The following is a 22,097-nucleotide window of genomic DNA, read 5'->3' as shown; positions in this document are numbered from 1 at the left end:
TTGGTGGCATGCACCTGTGGTCCCAGCTACTTGGAAAACTGAGGTGGGAGGATTGCTTGAGCCCAGGAGGTCGAGGCTGCAGTGAGTCGTGATTGCACCATTGCACTCCAGCCTCGGTGACATACAGAGTTTGATTTTTCTCCTGCAGGTTACATAGTGGTATCTTGCAATCACTGGAGCTTGTGACCTTAATTTAAAGTAGGAGTGATGCCTATAATTCATGGGATAGTTGTGAGGATTAAATGAAAGAGCTTTGTTAAAGGATTTTTAAATATTTAAAATTTAAATGTGATTATTATTGGTGAACAGTCCCACTTTGATATTCTAACTTCACAGAGCTTATAAAATATGTGATATTCATCTCTTATAATCAAATCAAAACAAGTTTTATTTTATTTTATTTTATTTTTGAGACAGAGTTTCACTCTTGTTGCCCAGGCTGGAGTGTGATGGCGCTATCTCGGTTCACCGCAACCTCCGCCTCCCGGGTTCAAGTGATTCTCCTGCCTCAGCCTCCCTAGTAGCTGGGATTACAGGCATGTGCCACCACGCCCGGCTAATTTTGTATTTTTAGTAGAATCCAGGTTTCTCCACGTTGGTCAGGCTGGTCTTGAACTCCCGACCTCAGGTGTTCTGCCCACCTTGGCCTCCCAAAGTGCTAGGATTACAGGCGTGAGCCACTGCTCCTGGCTTCAAAACAAGTTTTAAAGTAAGACTCCACTTGCTACTTCTAGGATGGGGCTTCTTAACCTGCTTTGTGCACCCCTTTGGTGAATACTGTTTTATAAATACATAAAATAAAATACGTAGGATTACAAAAAAAATCAGTTGTGTTGAAAACAGCCATTTCAATGTTATACTTTTTCTTAACACATTAAATAGTAAGGTTTAGCAGGGGGTCTAATAACTACCATGATTTCAAAGTAGTAAATTATGGATAGTGTTTCAAAATAACTGCAGCCAACATTGTGTATGTGAAAATATCTGTGATTTCTACTAGTGGCAAAATTATAGGCACCACTATGATTGTGTGATTTGTTGCATGCATTCATTATAGAAGGAGTTAAATTTCAGTTAGAGGTTAGTGAAAATAAAGATGCATCTTTTTTTTTCCCATCCAAGGTCACAAATCTACTAAAATCTATCTATGGACCACACCCCCACCCACCCCAGCTTAAGGTTAAGAACCTCTGTCTTAGAAGACTATTTCAGAGTTTTATTCTATTGTGTTGGAATTTATAAGAAAAAAAATCCAGAAAATTGTGGGGCAGAACAGGTGATTTCAGTGTATTTGATTGGAATGGTGAAATGATCCATGTTATCTCTTGATTTCAGATTGCATTCACAGGAACTACTTTTATTGGCTATGTAGGATTATGGACTGGCCAGAGCCCACACAAGTTTACAGTTTCTGGTGATGAACGAGGTAATCAAAACAAACCCCTGTGTAATTTTAGCTACATTATTGTTCAGTTCTATCCAAGCACTTCCTTCACTCACCCAACAGAATATACAGAACACCCACTATGTGGCAGGGACTTCCATCCTAGGGGGAGAAAGTGGACAGTATGCATGGAAGCAATGAAGATTTCAGGTAGCAATAAGTGCTGCAAAGAAAGCAAAATAGGAAGCTGTGATAGAGAGTGAAGGAGGAGGTGGGGTGGTTAGTACAGGTCAGAGGGTCAGAGAAGGCCTGACCCATGTGATCCGGGAGCTAGTTCTGCAGAAGCCAGGGGAAGACCATTTCTGGTGGTCTTACCGCAAGGATGAAGGCCGTAGGTAGTAATAATAAGCTTGGTGGATTTCAGAAGCCAAAGAAAGTCAGTGTGGTTATGGCATGGGAGTAAGTGGGTAGTGACATTAGAAGTGAAGAAGAGGCTGAGGCCATGGTGCAGGGCCACAATGAAGAGTTTGGTTTTTAAGCATAATGGAAGCTGTAGGGGGATTGTAGGCCAGGGAGTGAACAGATGTGATTTATATTTTTAACTATTACTTTTGCTGCTCTGTAGAGATTGGGTTGTTTTAGGTTAAGATGGAAGCAGAAGACCATTTGGAAACTACTGTGATAATCTAGGGGATATATGATGCTGTTATACAAGCCACATTTGTAAAGCACTTTCTGGTTTACCATGTACATCCTCACATGTCTTCTTCTTAGACCCTCACAACAGTCCTGTTAGGCAGGGCTGTTATTTTTAACTCCATTCGTTAGGCAGAGAAAGAAATAGGCTGTGAGATGAAATGACAGCTAGTAGTGGGAGAGGAAGTTCTCAGATTGCTCTCCTGGGTCCTGACCCAATTGCTCTGTTCATTGACATCCCCACTGCCATTCCCCAGATCTCAGGGGAACACCATTTAGTTCCACAGTATGTGGGAAATCTAGAAATAAGTGAGCTCTGTGTCTGTCCTCAGCGTGCAGCTGAATCAAGGAGAAGGATATATACAAGGAGTATCTTGAAGTTTAGTGTTGCTCGTCTGATGAACCCTGATTGACTTCATGGTGTTGTTTTTTTGGGGTTTTTGTTTTGTTTTGTTTGTTTGTTTTTGTTTTTTTGAGACAGTCTCGCCCTGTTGCCCAGGCTAGAGTGCAGTGGGCGATCTCAGCTTACTGCAACCTCTGCCTCCCGGGCTCAGCCGATTCTCATGCCTCAGCTTCCTGAGTAGCTGGGATTACAGGAGGTGCCACCACACCCGGCTAATTTTTGTATTTTTGGTAGAGATGGGTTTTCACCATGTTGGCCAGGCTGGTCTCGAACTCCGAACCTCAGGTGATCCACCCACCTCGGCCTCCCAAAGTGCTGGGATTACAGGCGTGAACCACCATGCCCGGCCAGTGTTATTGTTTATTCTTATCTTTTTACATAAGGCTTTACCAGGAAGATGGTGATTGAGTATATATCAGTGTCCACAGTAAGCAGTTCTTTATCCTAATGTATTTCTTCCACATTTTCTCATATGTCAGCTATGTATAGTACTGGTTCTCAACCTGTGGTACCCAAACCACAGCATGACAATTACTAAGGTTTTTAATAGAATGCCTATAATTACATGTATATTTATTAAAAATGACTGGCTTTCATTTTGCAACTCAAGTTGTTTACCAAACTTGATTAGTAGAATCTAAGGTATGAGCAGTTAAAAATAACCAAGTTAGTCTACAACATATGCATTTAATGAAATACTGTCAAACTGCTTTTAGCCAGGCATGGTGGCACCTGCCTGTAGTCCCAGCTACGTGGGAGGCTGAAATGGGAGGATGGCTTGGGCCCAGGAGTTACAGGCTGCAATGAGCTGTGATATTAAGTCTCTGGACATTATGGGGGGTGCCAGCAATGCCTCAAAGCCACCCTAGGAAAGGATAAAGATATGAGGAGGACTAATGAATGCCACAGGGCATGGGGAGGCTTAACAAAACACCTGGTGGGTAACACCTGAAGACTCCAGGGCCAGTCTGCCTGGGTTTAAATCTTATTGCTGTAGCTGGGTGACCACGATCAAGGAGTTTAACCTGTCGGTGCTTCAGTTTCCTCATCTCGAAAGCAGGGATGGGCCGGGCGCGGTGGATCATGCCTGTAATCCCAGCACTTTGGGAGGCCGAGGCGGGTGGATCACGAGGTCAGGAGATTGAGACCATCCTGGCTAACACAGTGAAACCCCGTCTCTACTAAAAAAAAAAAACACAAATTTAGCCGGGCGTGGTGGCGGGTGCCTGTAGTCCCAGCTAGGCGTGAGGCTGAGGCAGGAGAATGGTGTGAACCCGGGAGGTGGAGCTTGCAGTGAGCCGAGATCGCGCCACTGCACTCCAGCATGGGCGACAGAGCGAGACTCCATCTCAAAAAAAAAGAAAAAAAAAAAGCAGGGATGATAATAGCTGCTATGAGGATGAAATGAATTAACGAATATGAAATACAGCAGTCCCTGGCACAGAGCAAGGGCCACAGAAGTGTTTTTGTTGTTGTTGCATCTCCAGGCCTGGCCTCCTCTGAGTCCTAGACTGGAGCATCCAGCCATCTTCTCAGCATCTCCACTCTGACGTCTACTAGGCATCTTACACTTGCCTAAGCAGATCTCTTGCTTTTTTCTTTTCCCTATTTTCTACCCAACTCTGCCTCTACTCAAATCTGTCCCTCTCCTCGTTTCCCATGTCTCAGAAAATGGCACCTCTACCCAACCAATTGCTACCAGAAATCATCACTGACCCCTCACTCCCTAAGTCTTATCAGCTCTGACAGCAGAACTAGACTGTACCTGTCCATTCTACCTCCACTGCTGAGCTAGCCCCCATCACACCTGTACTGCCTGATTAGTCCACCTGATCTCCTTGCTACTATTTTTACTTTCTTATAATTCCTTCCCTACCCAGCAACTAGAATGGTCAGGTTGTTCCCCTGCTTAAAACCTACTGTGACAGATATTGCATGATTTCACTTATATGTGGAATCTCCAAGTTTGAACTCATAGAAGCAGAGAGTAGAATGGTGGTTGCTATGCACTGAGGAAAAAGGGAAATGGTCAAAGGGTACAAAGTTTCAATTAGACAGGAGGAATAAGGTCTGGTGATCCACACAGCAAGGTGAGTACAGTTAACAATCATGTATTATGTATTTCAAAATTGCTAGAGTGGGTTTTTAAAAATTAATTTTGTTATTGATACACATTACATGTGCATATTTTGGGAGCACATGTGATGTGTTACATTCATATAATCACATCAGAGAAATGCAAATCACATTTTTATTTCTCTTAATGATTAATGATATGGAGTATCTTTTCATGTGCTTACTGCCCATTTGTATATCTTCTTTGGAGAAATATCTATTCAAGTCCTTTGCCCATTTTTTTTTGTTTGTTTTGAGACAGAGTCTTTCTGTCTCAAATCACACATTCATAAATGCACGATCATGTGTGCACAATCTAATTGTGATATGTTACCTTAAATATTTGTCTTTTCTTTACACTAGAAACATTCAAATTCTAGCTATTTTTTTTGGCGGGGGGGGGGGGGGCATTAAAAATTTTTTTTTAATTTTTTTTTTTAGTAGAAACAAGGTCTCACTATATTACCCAGGCTGGTCTCAAACTCCTGAGCTCACGCAGTCCTCCTGCCTCGGCTTCTTCCCAAAGTGCTGGGATTACAGGAGTGAGCCACTGCACAAGGCCTGTTTTTTTTCTTTTTCTCTTCTTTCTGTTTTCTTAAGACAGAGTCTTACTCTATTGCCCAGGCTGGAGTACAGTGGCGGGATCTTGGCTCACTGCAGCCTCAATCTCCTAGGCTCAAGTTATCCTCCTACCTCAGCCTTCTGAGTAGCTGGGACTACAGGCATGTGCCATCATGCCTGGCTAACTTTTGTAGAGGTAGGGTTTTGCCATGTTGCCCAGGCTGGTCTAAAACTCCTGGGCACAAGTGATCCACCCACTTTGGTCTCCCAAAGTGCTGGGATTACAGGCATGAGCCACTATACCTGGCCAATAGTAGCCATCTTAATGGGTGTGAGGTGGCATCTCATTGTAGTTTTGATTTGCATTTCTCTAATGATTAATGATATGGAATATCTTTTCATGTGCTTACTGGCCATTTGTATATCTTCTTTGGAGAAATGTCTATTCAGGTCCTTTGCCCATTTTTTTTTTGTTTTGAGACAGAGTCTCACTCTGTCACTCAGGCTGGAGTGCAGTGACTCAATCACAGCTCACTGCAGCCTTGACCAACAGCGCTCAAGCAATCCTCTTGCCTCAGCCTCCCCAGAAGCTGGGACTACAGGCATGTGCCACTATGCCTGGTAGTTTTTAAATTTTTTGTAGAGATGGGGTTTCACTATTTTCCCCAGGCTGATCTAAAACTCCTGGGCTCAAGCACTCCTCCCACCTGGGCCTCCCAAAGTGTTGGGATTACAGGCTTGAGCCAGCACATCTGGCCCTTTGCCCATTTTTAAATTGGAATGTTTGTTTTGTTGTTGTTGAGTTTTAGGAGTTCTCTGAATACTCTGGATATTAATCTCTTATTAATGCAAATATTTTCTCTCAATCTGTGAATTGCCTTTTACTCTGTTGATACCGTCTTTTTTTTTTTTTTTTTTTTGAGACAGAGTCTCTCTCTGTCACCCAGGTTGGAGTGCAGTGGCCTGATCTTGGCTCACTGCAACCTCCGCCTCCCAGGTTCAAGCAATTCTCCTCCCTCAGCCTCCCAAGTAGCTGGGATTACAGGTGCCCGCCACCATGCTCAGCTAATTTTTATATTTTTAATAGAGACAGGGTTTCACCATGTTGGCGAGGCTAGTGTCGAACTCCTGACCTCAGGGGATCCGCCCACCTCGGCCTCCCAAAGTGCTGGGATTACAGGCATGAGTCACCACACCTGGCTAATACTGTCTTTTAATGCGCAGAATTTTAAAAATTTTTGTGAAATTCAATTTGTCCATTTTTTTCTTATATTGCCATTACTTAGCCTTGAATGAAAACTTTTGTTTGGCAATGAATCCCCTAACAGACTTTTAAAAGTTGTCCAAAAGTAATTTTGGGAAATGATTGCAAATTTGTATTTTTTTAAAATGTGAGCACAAATCACAGGTGTGGAAGACTCAAGTTCTCTATGTTCTTCCTAATATTTATTAAGACACTTCCCTTGATGGCTACATAATTTTATTTTGCCTGGCATAATTAATAGAATTATTTCCTTTGACATAACTATCATTGTATCCTGGTACAAAAGATTCTGCTTTCAAAACTTGAGTGAATATCTCTCTATATTTCCTTGCTAAAATAACATATCTGTTTCATGTGTGTACATATATACACACACATATATAACATATATACTCAACTTGGCAGATAAAGGCTGGTGGTGGGAGAATGCTATCGCTGCCCTGTTTCGGAGACACATTCCCGTCAGCTGGCTGATCCGCGCTGTGAGTATATTTAATGTGGAGCCCTCCTTAACTCCACCTCCACCTTCTAAACTGTTCTGTGTCATTTAACAATGTTGCTTTTAATGTAAGGAGCTCCTTAAAAGAATAAGCATCTAAATGTCTGCAAAGTGCATATAAATCTTTTTGATAAATGTCAAAGATAAAGCCAGACACTAGTTAAAGTGGTAAGGACAGATTGTAATCAGTATATGCTATTGGAGTAAGGAAGAGTCCAGTGTGAACTGAGCTCAACTTCGGTTTGTGCAGAGGTGATGGGTATTTTAAAAGGTGAGGGAACAAGGAGCTTAGGATAGTCAGAGAAGTGAAAAGTGGAAAGGCGGGATCGGTTCATGTGAAACCAATTTGAGTTTGCGAACTGGAACTTAGAAGTTATGCTCCAGGCAGGGCGCAGTGGCTCACGCCTGTAATCCCAGCACTTTGGGAGGCCAAGGAGGGTGGATCTCGAGGTCAGGAGATTGAGACCATCCTGGCTAACACAGTGAAACCCTGTCTCTACTTAAAATACAAAAAATTAGCTGGGTGTGGTGGCATGTGCCTGTAATCCCAGCTACTCGCGAGGCTAAGGCAGGAGAATGGCGTGAACCCGGGAGGCGGAGCCGGAGGCTGAGGTAGGAGAATGGTGTGAACCTGGGAGGCGGAGCTTGCATTGAGCCGAGATGGTGCCACTGAACTCCAGCCTGGTCAATAAGAGCAAAACTCCGTCTCAAAAAAAAAAAATGAAGTTATGCTCCTACCCTCCTACAGAGACAGGGAGACAGGGGCCCTACCTTCAGGTATTGGCTGGAACAAATGGCAAATTCTTTTGACAGCCTGGAGTTTTCTCAGACAGGCACTTTAAGGGGGACTAGTCATCTGAGAGACGTGGCCTTGAGCTGTTAGAAACTATTAGTATTTGTTCGAGTCTTTATAAGCCAGGGTCAAGGTCTAATAGAGAAGAGGTCTCAGAGGAGCCTGGCTAGAGTTTGGTTAAGGAGAGAATCTTTGTCATAGGCTAGAGTTTTCCACAATAGCTGATTGAGATAGGAGATAATATTATGCTCTTCTACAGAGACAGATGTACTCCCCTTTTAAAATCTCCATTTGCAAATATCCAAACTAGCAAAGCAAACACATTAGAAGCCAGCTGTGCACACAACAAAAGGAACATCTGCTCTACAAGAACCTATTAAAATGTGCTGGGTTCCAGGCCACATCTACAGTAGTCTCCCCTTATTCTTGGTTTCTGTTACCCACAGTCAACTGTGGTCCAGAAATATGAAATGGAAAATTCCAGAAATAATTCATCGGTTTTAAATTGCACAATATTCTGAATAGTGGGATGAAATCAGTCACCTAGTAACTGTCTCAATTATCAGACTGTTACGCATCTCAGTGCTTGTGTTCAAGGAACGCTTATCGTACTTAATAATTTGCCACAAAGTGCAAGAATAGAGATGCCAGCAACTTGGGTATGACAAAAAGAAGCTGTAAGGTGTTTCCTTTAAGTGAAAATGAAACGGCCTCATTTGTCTGGGGTGATACCTTAGATTTGTTGTCTCAGGGCCACAGAAAACTAGAATGCGGACACACCAGTGTGAGGTTAAGAGTGGAAGTTTAACAGGCGAAAGAAAGAGAAGAGCAAAGAGGAGTCCCAAAAAAATGAGTTGCTGCTTCTGTGGTGAAATGAAGGAGGTTTTATGGATGAGCTTGAGGAGGTGGTAACTGATTTACATAGGGCAGCAAAGATTGGTTGGACCAGGTGTACCATTTGCATAGGGCATGAAAAGCTGTCTGCCCCCACCCTAATCTTTTATTATGCTGATGGATTCTCTACCTGGCTGGTGCCATGTTGCCTGCTTCTTTACTGTACACATGGTGACAAAGAAAAGGGAAGATGGGCCGGGCGCGGTGGCTCACACCTGTAATCCCAGCACTTTGGGAGGCCGAGGCAGAGAAGTGAGGAGGTCAGGAGTTCGAGACTAGCCTGGCCAACATGGTGAAACCCCATCTCTACTAAAAATACAAAAATTAGTCAGGTGTAGTGGCGGGTGTCTGTAATCCCAGCCCCTTGGGTGGCTGAGGCAGGAGAATCACTTGAATTCAGAAGGCAGAGGTTGCAGTGAGCCGAGATCACACCACTGCACTCCAGCCTGGGAGACACAGCAAGACTCTGTCTCAAAAAAAAAAAAAGAAAAAAGAAGGGAAGATGGAGCCTCCGTTTTGAACATACCTGGCTCCCAGGTAGCCCTTTTCTGTTGGCACAGCTGCTGGCATTCACCCGTGCAAGCTTCCAGCTTGCTTGTCTATGTTTGCAGCTCGATTTTTCAGGCTGCTCTTTGTTAGAAAAGAATAACTTCTTGGGCTACTTTTTGTTAGAAAGGAAGCCTTGCCAAGGACTCTTCTACCCTCACTATCTGCCTAATTTCTTTCTATCTCCTGTATCAAAAAGGTGAAAGTTCTTGATTTGATAAGGAAAGAAAAAAAATCCATATGCTGAGGTTGCTATGTTCTCTGGTAAGGACGAATCTGCTGGGTGTGATGGTGCTCGCCTGCAGTCCCAGACACTCAGGAGGCTGAGGCGGGAGGATCCCTTCTGCCCAGGAGTTCAGGTCCAACAGACAACATTGAGACCCCATGTCTGGAAAGAAGTAAATAAATGAAATAACAAAAGAAACTCTGGGACCTAGACTAAAAAAAAAAAAGGAAGAAGAAAGAAACTCCATGTCTATTAGCAGTCACTGCCCATTTCCTCCATTTCCTGAGATAGATGCATTTGCACTCCCTGACTTTGTCGCCTGGGTAAAATAAGTCACCAGTGCCTTCAGTATTTTTTATGGATGTTCTTTTGCTTTGCTGTCACAGGTTAGAGAAAATGAATTTGATAGTAGTTGGGGGATGGTATAGGCAACATAAGCAAACAAATATTTCATCACTCCTATTACCTCTGCAAAGGCCAAGGGAAAATTTCTTCTTTGCCCTCTGATGGTTCACTGAAAAGTCAACTCACAAAAGGCAGATTAATTGGAGAAAAGGCATACAAATTTATTTAACATGTACATGACATAGGAGTCTTCAGAATGAAGACCCAAAGATACAGGGGACATTGTCCATTTTTATGCTTAGGTTTAACAAAGTATGGAATGCCATGTAGAAATATGATTGAACAAAAAGGTAGATCCAGTGCTAATAGATGGAGTGGGGAAACCCAGCTAGGCCTGTGTGTCTAGATTCTTCTTGGCCTCTCTGACCATACATTCCCTTCTTCCAGGTACAGGGCAGGATCCTCTCTGGAAAGGGGATCATATGACCTACAGTCAAACAAGTTAGGACAGATCATTTCTTTTTTTTTTTTTTTTTGAGACAGGGTCTCACTCTGTCACCCAGGCTGGAGTGCAGTGGCATGATCTCGGCTCACTGCAACCTTCATCTCCTGGGTTCAAGCAATTCTCCCACCTCAGCCTCCCTGCATAGCTAAGTATAAGGCAGGAAAACTCTACAAAGCCCTGCCATGGGTTTTGTAGAGTTTTCTTGCCTTATGGTTATTGCTGTTAAGGTTTATGGTGCTGAATGACGGAGCCTTTGCAGACACCAATACCTTGAATTGTTCTTTTGTTTGACCCTATCACCACCTCCACCCTTGACAATGTGCCCTGGCAATATCCAGGATGGGTGAGCATACAGTGTACTTCCTTTAAAACATGGCAGCAGAGTGGTTGTGAAGGTGGAGACAGGAAGAGCAGGCCCTCCACCGAAGGATATTCTTGAGCAGATCAGCTCTAGGAAGGAGCCCATATGGAATCTGAAGATTTGGGGAGTGATCCCCTTAAGTATCCTTGCCACAGGCCTTTGGAAGTCATCATGCGCCCTCGGGGTGTCTGAACACCAGTTAAGCTCAGGGCGCTAATGTAGCGCATGCTCTTTCATCCCCAAGCCTTTGCCAGTCTAGTCCATCGAACTAGAACCCTCCTCCCCACTGCCACTCCTCACCCTGCAACCACCACTTTCACCACTCACTTGTGTTTGTCTCTTTAGCTTCAATTCATGCGATGCTTCCCAGCAGTACCTCCTCCACTGCCCTTGGTGAGGATGGGACCCCTACTGTGACGTCCATAGCATCTTATTCTCCTATGTGAACTCTCATTACACTGTGTCACCATTGGTTGTTGACTTTTCTGTCTTCCTCAGAGGCTTGGGGAGAATAGGACCAGGCGACTCATTCACTGCTCTATCCCCCACCAGCACAGTGCCTGGCACAGTGTAGATATTCAAGAAAACCCTGTTTAAATAATAAATGAATGAAGAAGCACAAAAAGTCCTTTGTGAGGGCGATCTGCCTGGAGAGCACACAGCCGGTGTTTGCTGAGCCAGGCCTAGGGCTTGTCAACAGTTCTCTCCTCCTGTCAGAATTTCCTGCTGCTCCTGGCTCCGCTTTGAAGCTGAAATTTCTTCCATCTTAGGAGCCCTGATAACAAGAGGATAAGGTCAGAGCAGATCAAGGTGATAGTCATGACATAACATATCAGGAGAATGTGCTTTGGATCATTTTTGCATCATCTGGTGTGGACCCAACTGCAGGTGGGGTTGCTCACGCAAGTTCATCCTTTCGTTCAGACCCTGAGTGAGTCGGAAAACTTCGAAGCAGCTGTTGGCAAGTTGGCCAAGACTCCCCTTATTGCTGATGTTTATTACATTGTTGGTGGCACGTCCCCCCGGGAGGGGGTGGTCATCACGAGGAACAGAGATGGCCCAGCAGACATTTGGCCTCTAGATCCTTTGAATGGAGCGTAAGTAGAATTGAAAGCTCTGGTCATTTTGTATCAGATAATCATTTTTTTTAATCGGTGAAATGAGGGGTATTTTAAATTTGTTCATATGTCTCCTCTGCTATGTCGTAAATTGCCTTGGATAAGACAAGATGATGTGCTCTGTTGTAGGTGGTTCCGAGTTGAGACAAATTACGACCACTGGAAGCCAGCACCCAAGGAAGATGACCGGAGGTAGGCTGCTACGTGCTTTCTGGTTTGCAGTGTTTTCTTATGGTCAGGAGAATATGCCCATTCTGTCACAGGAACTGGCAAGACCTATGGGTGCTATCCTCTCCCAGAAAATGTACCTGAGCCCCTTCGCCAGTGCCTTGGCTGGGAAGGGAGTGTTGTGTGGAGGAGAGCAGTGGGCAGAGCCTCTCAGCAGCTGGGCGGGTGTTGGGAGGCTGTCAGGGTCAGGAGCCCTAGAGCCCACCACCAGCTCTGCTAGTGACTCACTGGGTGGCTCTCGGGCCTCTGTTTACCAGTCTGTAAAATGAAAGCAAAGGGCCAGGTTCATGGTCTTCTAGGCAAGATATTTTTAGAAGGAAATTATTTCCCTTATTTAAACAATAAATAAACCAGTCAAGGGTTTTTATTGTCCCTTCAAGTTGTAAACATTCTATAATTATAAGTCAGCACAGTTCCAAAGTGCAGGTAGCTATATACGTTGCCTTGGCTTTACTACCCCACAAGTTTGGCCACTGTTCAGTTCTGCAGCCACACATTTTCATCATCCCAGCTTTCTGGAGCAGATGGTGCCAACCGTCCCAGCTGCTGGATGAATTCCACTGTGGTGGGCTGGGCCTCAGCAGGAAACAGGCTTGGGGCCAGAATCTGTTTTGGAGAAAGGGAGATAATGAGACTGGAGCTTGCATTCTGCCTCCCAAAAATGACAGCTGATGGGCTTCAGTGCTTGTTGAAATGCCAAGTGACCTTCGACCTTTGTCCTTACAGAACATCTGCCATCAAGGCCCTTAATGCTACAGGACAAGCAAACCTCAGCCTGGAGGCACTTTTCCAGGTAACTTGTGTCACAGTGTCCTGCATACCTAGGATGTTTGGTGTTTTGTTAATAGTGAATATGAAAAACTCCGTGAAATCTTCTGGTAGATGAAAACGTTAGGGTAAAAGTTTTATTTGGTTGAAATCATGTATTAAAAGTGGTGGCTCACACCTGTAATCCCAGCACTTTGGGAGGCCTAGGCAGGCAGATCACGAGGTCAGGAGATTGAGACAATCCTGGCTAACACAGTGAAACCCTGTCTCTACTAAAAATACAAAAAATTAGCCAGGTGTAGTGGCGGGTGCCTGTAGTCCAAGCTACTCCAGAGGCTGAGGCAGGAGAATGGCGTGTACCCGGAAGGCGGAGCTTGCAGTGAGCCGAGATTGCGCCACTGCACTCCAGCCTGACAGAGCGAGACTCCGTCTCAAAAAAAAAAAAAATTATATGACATTTTCTCAACTTGCTTTTATATAAGTTAAAATGTCCATCTTCACCAAAGTTTTTCTTTATATTAAAAAGAAAAAGTCATAGTTGTAATATATGTTCATTGTTTAAAAGAAAAAAAGAGAAAGAATTAAAAAGTCAGGCCGGATGTGGTGGCTCACACCTATAATCCCAGCACTTTGGGAGGTCAAGGCAGGAGGATCACTTGAGGTCAGGACTTCGAGACCAGCCTGGCCAACATGGTGAAACCCCGTCTCTACTAAAAATATATAAATTAGCCAGGCTTGGTGGTGTGTGCCTATAATCCCAACTACTTGGGATGCCGAGGCAGGAGAATCGGTTGACCCTGGGAGGCGGAGGTTGCAATGAACCAAGATCATGCCACTGCATTCTAGCCCAGGTGACACAGCAAGACTGTCTCAAAAAAAAAGTCTATATCACCTCAAGGTACACTAAAGAGTGGTTATGTTCTTTCTACAGACATTCTTTTTTTTTCTTTTTTAGTAAAGACAGGGTCTCTCTATGTTGCCCAGGCTGGTCTTGAACTCCTGGGCTTGAGTAATCCTCCCACGTCGGCTTCCCAAAGTGCTGGGATTACAGGCCTGAGCCACTGCACCCGGCCCTCCATAGATATTCTATGTGTATTTCTTCTACCATGTAATCTTCTCTATAAAATGACTTTTTCCTATGCAGATTTTGTCGGTGGTTCCAGTTTATAACAAGTAAGTGGCTTGTTAAACATGTCTGTTCACACATCACTCCAGAACAGTGAACTCACTCACGTACTGTTTGGCTCAGCAAGGATCTGAGGGCTCCTGTAACCAGGCTGTGGGGGCACTCCTGTGGGGGCACTCCTGTGGGTACAGCTGCGAGCAAAACAAAGTCTCTGCTCTCATGGGACTAATATGGGTGGGGTGGGGGTGGTGGTGATAAACAAATATAAATCAGGTGAGAAGTCCATGAAGAAATCCAAAGGTAAAAAGAATAGAGTGACCCTGAAGGAGGCTCTGGGAATTTTTTTTTTTCTTGAGCCAGAGTCTCGCTCTGTCACCCAGGCTGGAGTGCAGTGGCGCAATCTCGGCTCACTGCAAGCTCTGCCTCCCAGGTTCACACCATTCTCCTGCCTCAGCCTCCCAAGTGGCTGGGACTACAGGCTCGTGCCACCACGCCCAGCTAATTTTTTGTATTTTTTAAGTAGGGACAGGGTTTCACCGTTTTAGCCAGGATGGCCTTGATCTCCTGACCTCATGATCTGCCCACCTCGGCCTCCCAAATTGCTGGGATTACAGGAGTGAGCCACTGCGCCCGGCCAGCTCTGGGAATCTTAAATTCAAACTTGGCCTTCCATAGTGTTGTCAAACTAGAAGGAAAAACACTTTGACTGGCTGACCTCTTGATTCCTACATTTGAAATATTCTGGCAGTGAGGTGTTCATCCTAACTCAGTCAGGTAGCTGTGGACAGCCTTCACCTGTTAGGAGCTCCTTAGAAATAAATTCTGAATACCTTTGGTTTTCTTTTATCCTCCGGAGGAATTTCCACTATCTCCGAAGCTGTTCCTTGTTCCACTGACAATTCGCTTAGTTAATGTTCTTTTTTAGCCTGTACCCTTGATAGCAGCATTCTGTGAGCAATGGTTTCTCTAGTGTATAGCCTAGGATTTTACTCACATTCTTTTTAATTTCTTTTTCTTTTTTTTTTTTTTTTAAGTGAAAGCAGGCCAGGTGCGGTGGCTCACGCCTGTAATCCCAGCCCTTTGGGAGGCCAAGGCGGGTGGATCACTTGAGGTCAGGAGTTCAAGACCAGCCTGGCCAACATGGTGAAACCTCGTCTCTACTAAAAATACAAAAATCAACCAGGCATGACGGTGCACGCCTGTTATCACAGCTACTTGGGAAGCAGCGGCTGGAGAATTGCTTGAACCTGGGAAGTCGAGGCTGCAAGTGAGCTGAGATCATGCCATGGCAGTCTAGCCTGGGCAACAGAGCGAGACTCTGTTTCAAAAAAAAAAAGAAAAGAAAACTAATTAGTCAGTATTCTGCTACTCAAACAAATGAGCTATTTGGATAACAAAGCATACCCAGTGGTCTGCTAGTAAACCAGCTCTTTGTGTGGGAAGGGACAAATGAAAAAATTCCCAAATTTGTAGCATTTGTTGACTTCCATGGTGTGAATACTCCCACATGGCTGATTTCAGGCTTATAGTTGGCTCATACACTTCCTGCATATTTAATAATTGGCCCTCACCAGACTGTAGGAGCTAGCTCCAATGCACTATTGACTGTACCCTTCATAGCGGGGCACAATGTTGCCCTTTTAATAGTCATTTTTTAAATGGGGGTTAATAAACTACTTTTGTGTTCTTATAGTTTTTTTAGGTAATTATAGAAGTGATGAATATATCTGGCTGGGCGCAGTGGCTCACATCTGTAATCCTAGTACTTTGGAAGCCGAGGCGGGTGGATCACTTGAGGTCAGGAGTTCGAGACCAGCCTGGCCAACATGGTGAAACCTCATCTCTACTAAAAATACAAAAATTAGCCAGGCGTCATGGTGCGTGCCTGTAATCCCAGCTACTTGGGAGGTGGAGGCAGGAAAATCACTCGAATCCGGGAGACAGAGGTTGCAGTGAGCTGAGATTGCACTCCAGCCTGGGCGACAGAGGGAGACTCCGTCTTAAAAAAAAAAAAAAAAAAAAAAAAAAAGAAGTGATGAATATATCTTTTAAAAATTAGTATTATAATAAAATAGTTACATTTATTTTAATAAAACAAAGCATTTTCTCTGCTTTGAACAGCCCTCATAATTTTACATGGTGGCAGTGGCCAGTTGGCTGTATTATAATTGAGTTAAGCATTCTCCAGTTGTTAGATTTTCCTCTATTAAAACTCTGAAATAAACATATTCGTTTGCCTCTCCCCTGCTTACTTTCAGATTATTTCCCTTGGCTGAATTCCCAGAAGTAGGATTACTGAGTTAACAGTTATGAATGTTTAAATGGTTTCTGAAATGGTTTGGTCAAAATAAAATTGTTAGAAATTATAAACAGTTTACCAAGTAGTGTTTTTCTCTGTTGTATACTTGAAAATTCAAGAGAAACTGCTTTTAAGTGACAATCACCATGGAGCCAGAATTAACACAGACTTCTGACTCTCAGGCCCTTTACATGTAATGATTAACCTCAACTGAGGCTGTTCAGTTGTATTAGGTTAATAGAAATAAGTGTAGCTGTATCTGAAAAAAAGAAAAAGAAACAACAAAAAAGTAGTCTGAACAAAGGCAGTTAGCTCTATGCTGCCCCTTTGTGCCATGCTGCAAAATTACACCCACCTGCAATACATCTCCATCCTCTGCTGTGGCTCATCAGTAGAGAAAATACTAAAACAGTAATGGAGAGCAGAACTATGACTAAAGTAAACGAGCAATTAAGGTCCTGTTCAGGGAACCTCCATTACCCTTGGACGAGCTCTGCACTTGCTTACAGTGCTGTCTTTAACTGGGTGTATGATTTAGCTGTGGACCCAGTGCTACTAATTCTGCCTGTTTCTGAACAACCCAGCTCCGATATTTTGCACATGCACCTCAACTGGATTCCAAGACAAATGTGTGTACATGTGGGCACATGTGCTCAAGTTGTTTAGGTCTCTTGTTATACGGAATGTGTAATCAATGACACTATACTTTTCATCCTTAGATCTGGGCAAGGTGGAGGGGCGGGGCAGGTGCCTTGATCCTGGAGCTTTAGAGGCCCTCCTCTGGAATTCCTCTAGTTGTGATACCACCCCCCCAAAGCATGGTGTAAGGAATCTGCTGGACCAAGGGCATTTGCCCACCTGGAGTCTGCCCAAGTACCCAGGACCCTGTAATTCTCAGCCTGAACAGCCCCACCTCCACTTCCAGGGTTTGTGTTTTCCTCTTCCCTGGGTGATATTCTCCTGATGGTGGTGCATGGCCACTGAGAGAGAGCACAGGGGCAGGTGCTTGCTGGGGAATGTGAAGGCGGTGATGTCACATGTGTGCAAGTAAGGCCCTTGTGGGTAGGACAGAGCCAGGGTGAGGGCCAAGGCTTGGTCTCCCCCACTGCCTTGGGGTAGAGCTCTGAGGAGTCTTGAGATTTTATTTATTTATTTTTTATGAGACAGAGTCTCACTCTGTTGCCCAGGCTGGAGTGCAGTGGCGCAATCTCAGCTCAGTGCAACCTCTGCCTCCCAAGTTTAAGCAATTCTCCTGCCTCAGCCTCCCTAGTAGCTGGGATTTCAGGCACCACCACACCCAGCTAATTAAGTCTGAGAATTTTAAGTTCCAACTTGGCCTTCCACAGTGTTGTCAAAATAGGAGGAAAGTGCACTTTGACCTCTTGATTCATAGATTTAAAATATTCTGGCATAAAGGGCCTTGTCCCAGATCTCAAGTGTTAGGGAAGCACTTGGTCATTTTCTTCCCTTTCTGGCATATTAGAGAAAATGATGTGTACATAAAATTTCCTCATAATTTTCAGCTTCACAATTTATACTACGGTAATGAGCGCCGGTAGCCCAGACAAGTACATGACTAGGATCAGAAACCCGAGTAGAAAGTAAGTCAGCAGAAGAGCGAGTTCGCCCGTGCTGTGAAAGGTTTGTTGTTACTGTTTTGTGGAGAGGGGGTGAGGTGGGTGTGTGCTGGTATTTCTTACAGAGGGTGGTAACATCCTTAAAATGTATACATATATAATATTTTCTGACAAGCATCTGGCATTGTCATTTGTGTCAGATTGTCATCATTAGATATTTTATTTGGAATTGTTTGTATGAAAACCAATCTTCGGCGGGGCGTGATGGCTCATGACTGTAATTTCAGCACTTTGAGAGGCAGAGGCAGGCAGATCACTTGAGGTCAGGAGTTCAAGACCAGCCTGGCCAACATGGTGAAACCCCATCTCTACTAAAACTACAAAAAAACTGTTAGCCAGGTGTGGTGGTGGGTACCCAAAATCCCGACTACTCAGGAGCTGAGGTAGGAGAATCACTTGAACTCGGGAGGTGGAGTTTGTAGTGAGCTGAGATCACACCACTGCACTCCAGCCTGGGAAACAGAGTGAGACTCCATTAAAAAAAAAAAAAAAATCAGTCTTTGAATTAAATGCGTTTTTTTCTTCCCTTACAGATGATTTTTTAAAAAATGAAATTCTTGAAGAGCTGCACCTTAAAAAATAAGACAAAGTGAAAGTATTGTATTATGTTACAAACAATGCAGGCTCCTTCCTCATTTAACTTTACAACCTTGCGAAGTGGGTCCAGGAGATTTGGAGTTTGTGGTAAAGCCAGTAATGGGCATTGTCCTGCATTCCCTTCCCTTCATGGTTTGCCTCGATCCTCTCTAAGCTTCTATCCTGGCCTGAATAACTCAAAGATAATTGGTCTCAGAGATCAAGCCATATCCTCAGGCCTTATTTCCATCTTCTCATGATTCTGCCATCATACCTTTGCTTCTCCGCTAATGAAATGAGCTGGCAAGACCTCTGTTCATTGTGAAGTGCTTCTGAAAGAGCCTAAGAAAAAAGGCTCATCTGAAAGAAATGGAGAACTCTATTTCGAACCAAGCCTGTTTGAATGTGTGTTAGTCTGATCTTTGATCATGTGTTTCCATGTAATGGGAGTCTCGTTTTTTATAATGTTTCTAACGTTTTATTGAAAAACCTATGGCCCTCCTTCTTTCTCAATAGCTACTTTCTTACTGCTTTTTGAAAATAATATGCAACCAAATTATTTCTTAATGTCACATAATTAAGTAATAAAATGTCAAAAGAAATGTTGGCAAGGAGAATAAAAAAATTTCCAAGAAACTTAGCGTTATGCTCTCCCTGCTTTCTTTACCTCCGAAGTCTTATGGTTCTGAACTGCTGTCCTGAGAAAGCAACTCTCTTAGTTGTGATGTTATTTAAGTGTCAGCATTCAAGGGAATGAACAGCTGCTTGGTAGAGTTTGATTTTTCACATGTGCATGAAAGAAATGTCCTTGAGGATGAAGTCAGAAAAGGTTAAAAGTGTAAACGAAAATGTGCCTGAAGCAGCACTCAGTCCATGAGAGAGTTATTTTGCCAAGGCTAAGGATGTGCCCGGGAAAAAGAAACACCAGTCACAGGAGGACCTGTCCTGTGCTTTTCCCAAAGAGGGTTTGAGGAACTTCGGTATTTAAAGGGGAAAGAGCAAGCAGGAGCGGGGGATAAAAAGAGGGTAGACAGTGAGGCAAATGGTTACATTCTTGTGAGCTCTTATTATTGGTGCTCAGTGAATCTACATTTAGCACATGAAAACAAGGGAATGGAGGGAAAGTCAATGATGCATTTATCTCGTGCTCAGTAAATCTACATTTTACATAAGATAAAGCAACCGTGTGAAATTACAGCTATGTTTGGGAACAAAAGGAAGGCAGTTTTGGAGTGTCTCGGTTCCCAGGCTTAACTTTTCCTTTGGCATAGTGAGTAGAATGTCTAGAAGGAAGTGTTATCCAGGTACAGAACATCGCTCCCCTGACATACTGCAGACGTCTCTAGTGGCCCAGAATATTCGTGTTTCTTCTTGGACAGTGTCGTATAAATACCGTTTAATTTTCATCATCCAATGCCCTTTTAAAAATCAAATATGAGAAGTAGTTTACTCATGCCAGCTGTATCACACATCACACAGCCATTGAAACTAGAAATTTCTACTCATTAGTCTTTTTTTTTTTGAGACAGGGTCTTGTTCCACCACCCAAACTGGAGTGCAGTGGTGCAATCTCGGCCCACTGCAAACTCTGCCTCCAGGGTTCAAGCGATTCTTGTGTCTCAGCCTCCTGAGTAGCTGAGATTACCGGCATGTGCCACTATGCCCAGCTTATTCTGTATTTTTAGTAGAAATGGGCTTTTGCCATGTTGGCCAGGCTAAATTTCTTTTTTTTTTTTTTTTTCCAGACAGAGTCTCCCTCTGTCACCCAGGCTGGAGTGCGATGGCACGATCTCGGCTCACTGCAACCTCCGCCTCCTGGGTTCAAGCGATTCTACTGCCTCAGCCTCCCGAGTAGCTGGGATTACAGGCGTGTGCCACCATGCCCGGCTAATTTTTGGTGTTTTTAGTAGAGACAGGGTTTCACCACGTTGGTCAGGCTGGTCTCGAACTCCTGACCTCATGATCTGCCCTCCTTGGCCTCCCAAAGTGCTGGGATTACAGGCGTGAGCCACCGCGCCCAGCCTGGCCAGGCTAAATTTCTACTTATTAGTCTTATTCCATTTTTGTTTTCTTGAAAATATGCCATGATCTTCGGAAATTTGGGGAATACCCTAATTTTAACCAGGCAAAGCGAAGGCATTGAGGGCTGTTCCTCAGGAAAATGATTTAAGTAATCCAACACTCTAGTTGCTTTTCAGATATTTGTCCTTTTTGTTGAAACCGCCTTTGCAAAGATGATGACAGTGAGAGAAGTCTAGCATGGCTGACTCCATCTTCCTTCTAGCCTCACAGGCTGGCTGTCCTTGCTCGTTCCTGGGCACAGACCAAGCTAATCGTGGGAGGAATTTAGTTTAGAGTTTAACTTTAAAGAAAGGATGATAATAACCCCACCCTCAGACTAACCTCTGCCCTGCTAGGGAGTAAAGCCACCTTTGTAAAACTAATGGAAGGCTATGAGATTAGGATTATGGGAAGAACCCGAATTCTGCTAAATGTAGGCGTAGTTTCTATAATCCCTTACTGCTCAGGAGTCATGTGGCTAGAAGTCAAAGATTTGTGACTTCCCCAATTGTTCCTGTAGAGAACATCACTACTATAGCACCTAAGATTGGTCTTTTGAGATGTTTTTCAGACTTTTGCATTCTGGCAACCACTGGACCCCACCAGGACCTGTGACCATGAGTCAACTAGTCCTGTGGCCCTCACCCAAAGGGCATACTCAGTGCATAAAGACTGTTTTCCATACCCCTGTAATTTCATCCCCAATCAGCAACCCCCTTCCTTAGCCCCCAGCTCACCAAATTATCCATTAAAACCCTAGCCTCTGAGTTCTTGGAGAGACTGATTTGAGTAATAACATCCATGCTCCTGCTAGGACTGTTAATTGAACTCTTTCTCTACTGCAATAGTATGATCTCAGTGAATTGGTTTTGTCTGTGCAGTGAGCAAGAAGAACCCATCAGGTGATTGTCAGGCCTCTGAGCCCAAGCTAAGCCATCATATGCCCTGTGACCTGCACGTATACATCCAGATGGCCTGAAGCAACTGAAGATCCACAAAAGAAGAGAAAATAGCCAGTTCCTGCCTTAACTGATGACATTTCACCATTGTGATTTGTTCCTGCCCCACCCTAACTGATCAATTGACTTTGTGACAAGACACCCTCCCCACCCTTGCAATAATGTACTTTGTGATATTCCCCCGCCCTTGTGAATGTACTTTGTACGATACACCCTCCCCACCCTTGAGAAGGTACTTTGTAATATCCTCTCCGCCCTTGAGAATGTACTTTGTAAGATCCACTTCCTGCCTGCAAAAAATTGCTCCGAACTCCACCGTCTATCCCAAACCTATAAGAACTAATGATAATCCTACCACCCTTTGCTGACTCCTTTTTTGGACTCAGCCCACGTGCACCCAGGTGATTAAAAAGCTTTATTGCTCACATGAAGCCTATTTGGTGGTCTCTTCACACAGATGTGTGTGACAGTGATAACAGTGTCACGTGGTTTAACTACAATGTGTCCAGATATTGAATTTTGTTTAAGCCTGCTTGGGATTTGTTGTGCTCCCCAAATTTCAAGTTTGTGTCTTTTGTTCAATTTTGGAAAATAGTCAGCTATCTCAGAATTGCTCACCTACATTCTCTTGTGTCTTTTCTCCTGAACTTTAAGTATGCTGAAGGAGCTCAGAACACACTACCCCAAATATGCCACTTTGGTATAAGGACTATTTTGAGCTAAAGGCACTTAC

The 22,097-nt window shown here is 43.9% G+C and overlaps 1 protein-coding gene across 13 annotated transcripts in view, besides 1 other annotated feature; it reads left to right on the top strand.

Moving 5' to 3' along the window:
- NAAA (N-acylethanolamine acid amidase) overlaps positions 1-21,985 on the top strand; it is a 30,359-nt gene extending 8,374 nt beyond the window's left edge. The window contains exons 4-11 of one of the 13 annotated variants that reach the window (XM_017008028.3): positions 1,336-1,426; positions 6,829-6,905; positions 11,517-11,689; positions 11,840-11,902; positions 12,665-12,731; positions 13,851-13,879; positions 17,655-17,732; positions 18,302-18,980. In XM_017008028.3, coding sequence (XP_016863517.1) covers positions 1,336-1,426; positions 6,829-6,905; positions 11,517-11,689; positions 11,840-11,902; positions 12,665-12,731; positions 13,851-13,879; positions 17,655-17,732; positions 18,302-18,305 — 582 coding nt within the window. In that variant the 3' untranslated portion in view covers positions 18,306-18,980. Of the gene's footprint in view, positions 1-1,335; positions 1,427-6,828; positions 6,906-11,516; positions 11,690-11,839; positions 11,903-12,664; positions 12,732-13,850; positions 13,880-14,866; positions 16,203-17,654; positions 17,773-18,301; positions 18,981-21,286 lie in introns of those variants that run through there. The other 12 variants (NM_014435.4, XM_006714180.4, XM_017008030.3 and 9 more) reach the window with 12 other exon arrangements.
- Positions 16,513-16,562: an enhancer, noted in NCBI's record as "active region_21623". NCBI's record gives its function as "activates an Ori minimal core promoter by ATAC-STARR-seq in GM12878 lymphoblastoid cells {active_cell/tissue: GM12878}" and the evidence as "EXISTENCE:reporter gene assay evidence [ECO:0000049][PMID:35858748]".

Source organism: Homo sapiens, chromosome 4, assembly GCF_000001405.40.
Source record: "Homo sapiens chromosome 4, GRCh38.p14 Primary Assembly".
NCBI lineage: Eukaryota > Metazoa > Chordata > Mammalia > Primates > Hominidae > Homo > Homo sapiens.
Note: the sequence above shows the minus strand (reverse complement) of the source record. Positions and strands in the feature narration are given on the sequence as shown.